We start from the raw sequence: 2,006 nt of genomic DNA, 5'->3' as shown, positions 1-2,006 counted from the left end.
TTACTGTTCCAATGTAACACATTTTCTACTTCATCACTCTTCTGTTACCACTCTTAAATGTCTTATTCACATGTGCAAATAATAAAAACTAGTTTTAATGCAGAAATTAGGATTTTAGCATACAGGTACTTTAACCTAAATCTCAATTTGTGAGCTGAAAATACAGAAACACTGAACAAGGAAAGCATGGTATCCAAGACAAACTTGAAGGCTTAGTCTCTGTGGACGTAAAAACCCTAAGACAATGTATTTCTAAGGCTGATAAAAAGTTGGAAAGTAGGAAGCATATTAGTTCTGTTAATTCCCCTCCTGCCACTGGTGTCCCAATTATCTAATTCAAGAGTGGGTAACTTCCACCTGATCTCAGTTCATTTTTACTTATCATCCCAGGTAATGGATATGGTATACTGCTTGTGGCTGTCCCTTCCAGAGTGAGGGCTTGAAGACATTAAAAGTTGAATGATAACTGATTTCATACCTTGAAATCCATACCTCTAAGTAAGCAGCAAGTTGGCCAACTAAGATTTCAATCTGCATTTTGTCTGCTTTGCTATTTAGAAAATTACACAGGGTTATGTTACAGAAAGTGAGTTTAGATGGAAAAGACCTCTGAGGTGAAATTTAAGACCTATGATTGCTAAAATGAAGCCTACAATGCAAAAACTGGGGAAGAAACTATTCTAGGCAGAGGCAACAGTGAATGCAAATGCCTTAAGATGGCAATAAGCTTGGTAGGTTCAAGGAACAGAAAGGTGTGTATGTAAAGTATAGTTGAGGAATGGTCACAGAACATGAGTGGAGGAAAGGAAGATGAGGCTATTAAGGCTAGCAGGAGTTTAGGCACCGAGGGCCTTTAGCAGGTGAATGAGGTCTGATTTACCTAATTTTAAAAACTACAACTGTTATGTGGAGTGTATCCAAGCCAGAAAAAAGTGGAAGGAAACCAATTACGAAGATACTGTAGTCTAGGCAAGAGGTAATGATGGCTTAGATTGGAATGGCAGAAGTAGAGTGAACAGATTCAAAATGTAGTTGGTGGTAGGCAGGACTTGCTAATGGATTTGCTATAAGAAGAGAGAGATGAAGCAAGAGTAAATTTCTAAAATGTTCTCTTTTAAGGAGATGTGCAGAATATTCTTTGTATTTTTTTAGACGGTCTCACTGTGTCACGCAGGCTGGAGTGCAGTAGTGTGATCACAGCTCATAGCAGCATCTTGACCTCCTGGACCCAAGAAGTCCTCCCATCTCGGCCTCCCAACTAGCTGGGACTATAGGTGCACACCACAATGCCCAGCTAATTTTTTTAATTTTTTTGTAGAGATGAGATTTCATCACATTGCCCAGGTTGGTCTAGAACTCCTGAGCTCAAGCGATCCTCCAGCCTCAGCCTCCCAAAACGTTAGGATTACAGGTGTGAGCCACTGTGCCTGGCCCCAGACATTGAGACATATTCATGATGATACGAGAAACCCTACTCAATTTTATAGCTTGTATAGTATTCTACTGTATGACTATATCACAATTTATCCATTCTGATAATGGATAATTATTGTGTATTAGAGTAGGCTAACAAAGAGACCCAAGAATGTATAATGTCTCAAATAACAGACATTTATTTCTTGCTCACTTAATAGTCTCAGATACATGTTCCTGGTTGGCAAGTGGCTCTCCTTCAACAGGTGATTCAGGGGGTCAAGATATCTTCCATTTTGTGTTCTTCCATCTCCTAGGGCCCCATCATCATCTGCATTTAGCCAGAAGAAGGGTAAAGAAAGCTTGGAGGTACACCCACTCAAAAGTTCTAACCTGCAAGTGGCATTCATCACTCCACTCACATTCCATGGGAGAGGAGTTAGCTGGCTTCTCCTTCACTAGAGAGAGTGGAGGGAAGGGGGATAACTAGGAAATATACAGTCTAGCCATTTGTTCTATAATCCCATAATTTGCAAAGGTGAAAGTAGATCTCTGATACTTGTTTTCAGTATTTCTCTACTGTAAACTGTACT

Source organism: Homo sapiens, chromosome 2, assembly GCF_000001405.40.
Source record: "Homo sapiens chromosome 2, GRCh38.p14 Primary Assembly".
NCBI lineage: Eukaryota > Metazoa > Chordata > Mammalia > Primates > Hominidae > Homo > Homo sapiens.
This window is presented reverse-complemented; position numbering follows the sequence as displayed.